Below are 2,688 nucleotides of genomic sequence, written 5' to 3' on the forward strand. Positions count from 1 at the left end.
GCATTGGGAAAGGTTGAAATGGATATATTTTACAGATTTTATCAGGGCTATAAAAATCTGCTTCAGGGTCCCCTTGAGTCTTTGGTTAAGTACTAACGTGTGCATGTCCGGGGTTGACTCCATGGCTCCAGGCAAATAGCAATTACTAGAGAAAGAACAACTGTCAGGGAGCTGCAAACTGACCAATTTTCAAAGGTCATCAATTTACATTTCCGCTAATAGAATACAACAATTGTGTTGCTGCACATCTTTGTCATTTGTTATTTGTTTGACAATTTAAAAAATGATGCTTATCTAATGGGTATGATATAGACACATTGTTTTATCAGCTATAATGGAAAGATCCTGCTAAACACCTGTGGCATTCAATAGTATCCCCAGAAGATCCATGCCTTAGTAGATAGAATTACGATAAAAATACATTAAAAATCTATTATAGATATATTCCATGATTTTTTAAAGAAAAACATGAATATAATTTGGAAAGAAATGGAACTTATTTAAAAGAACCTAAAGAAGCATTAAAGTCTAGAAACAATGCAAAAACTAAAATGAAGTAGATTTAAAGAATGGGCTTATCTGTGATGCATTATAAGGGACATCGGAAGGGAACAGATGAAATAGCTGAAGGAAACAAGTTAGCTGATCAGGCAGCCTAGTCAGTGGCAAGAAAGCCTCAGGGTCTCAACACACCCAAAGCCCTTCTAATCTGGGAAGCCTTCATAGAAGAAATGAAGCCTCAGTACTCCCCTGCAGAGATAGAATGGGCCATCTCTCAAGGGTACACTTTCCAACCCTCAGGATGGCTACAGTCAGAGGATGGCAACTCCACTTGCCAGCCTCCAGCCAGTGATCCTTCACCAAGCTTTTTCCTTGGGAAAGGATGAAACCTATGAGTGAGCCTAGGGATTGTTTTCAGGAGAGAAATTATTAAAAACAGTCAAACAGGTTGTTAATGCCTGTGAAATCTGTCTAAAAAAATAATCCCCTCAACAGGCAGCTCCTTCCTCCTCAAACCCAAAGGATGATTAAACTATCCAGGGGAAGACTGACAGACAGTCTTTACCCACATGCCAAAGATGAAGAGCATACAATACCTTCTATATCCAAGCCCTCTGAGGTAATAAAAGTGTTAGTTAATGAACTAGCTCCTGCTTTGGTCTACCTAAATACCTCCAAAGTAACAATGGCCCCTCGTTTAAGGCAGCTATCACACAGAGGGTCTCAAAGGCACTAGGCATACAGTATCATCTCCATTGTGCCTGGAGACCCCGGTCCCCAGGAAAGGTAGAGAAGACAAACAATATTATCAAAAGACACCTCAGAAAACTGTTCCAAGAAACTCACCTTACTGGGTCACTCTTCTTCCCATTGCTGCACTGCAGGTAAGAAATACCCCTTTAAAGTTAGGTCTGCATCCTTTCAAAATGCTGTATTAATGGCCTTTTCTTACAAATGGTTTTCTATTAGACCAAAAGACCTCAGAATTGGTTAAGCATGTAACTTCCCTAGCCCACTTCCAACAGGAATTAACACAATTAGCAGAAACCCAACCCCAAGAAATAGGATCACCTTTATTGAACACAGGAGATTCGGTATTGGTACAGGCTCTTCCCTCTCTGTCTCCTTCCCTAAGCCCAAGCTGGGAAGGGCCTTACACTGTTCTTCTTTCAATCTCCTCGGAGGTAAAAGTTACAAAAATCTACTTCTGAGTACATAACACTCCAGTCAAAGCCTGAAAAGTTGAGGGAGCAATCCCAGGGGGCCTAGAGGAATGTCCCAGATATCAATGCAAAGAGACAGGAGACCTTAAGCTGAAAATCATAAAAGATAACTAAACGAATGATGGCTACTTGTCCTACTCAGTCCCACACCTTCCTTACCAGATACTTTCAGTCATTTCTATCTTTTCTCTTGAGATTGCCCACCAGATATGAGAACTTCTTTTTGACACATACTTGCAGGGAGATTTTGATTATCCATGGGATTACATTTGTCACTTCATAGACCTCTAAAGGGAAATTCTATATCTTTGTGAGTAAATTTTAAAGGGGAGTCATTTATTACACTAGAGATTTTTATTGTCCCTAGGATTACATTTGTAACTTAATAGACCTCCAAAGGGAAATTCTATATATTTGTGAGTAAATTTTAAAGGGGAATTATTTATTACCTTACTCTTGTGAGAATTCCTACTCTTACTCTACGATTTACAGTAAAACTATACTGTGTCACCCACATTGTGGAATTCTAGATGGAAAATTCTAATCGCTATAATATTCTGCCTAATTATGTTCATAACAGGATTAATAATTACAGGAACGATTTTGTCAAAGTTAGCAATAAAGTTACTCTGGCCACCCAATCCAATGGCACTTATCCTATATTAAGAAAATTTTGCTTCTATATTAATGCTTCTGGTAAAGTACAGCGACATCTGGTGGAGGCAACAGTATTACAACCCATCTAAATGGCTAATAGGTATCAAACAAACTCTACTCTCATGGTTATAGCCTATAGTACCCCTACTAATAGTGGCAATCTTAATACTCATATTCAAACTCTACATTCTAAACTTCTTGTAAAATTAATTTCTTCTCACCTAGAAGCTATTAAACTCCAAATGGTGCCTCAGATGGAACCATGCATGGACACACCTTTCTTCTGAGGACCCTTAGATTGACTCCA

This window comes from Homo sapiens, chromosome 2 (genome assembly GCF_000001405.40).
Source record: "Homo sapiens chromosome 2, GRCh38.p14 Primary Assembly".
Lineage (NCBI taxonomy): Eukaryota > Metazoa > Chordata > Mammalia > Primates > Hominidae > Homo > Homo sapiens.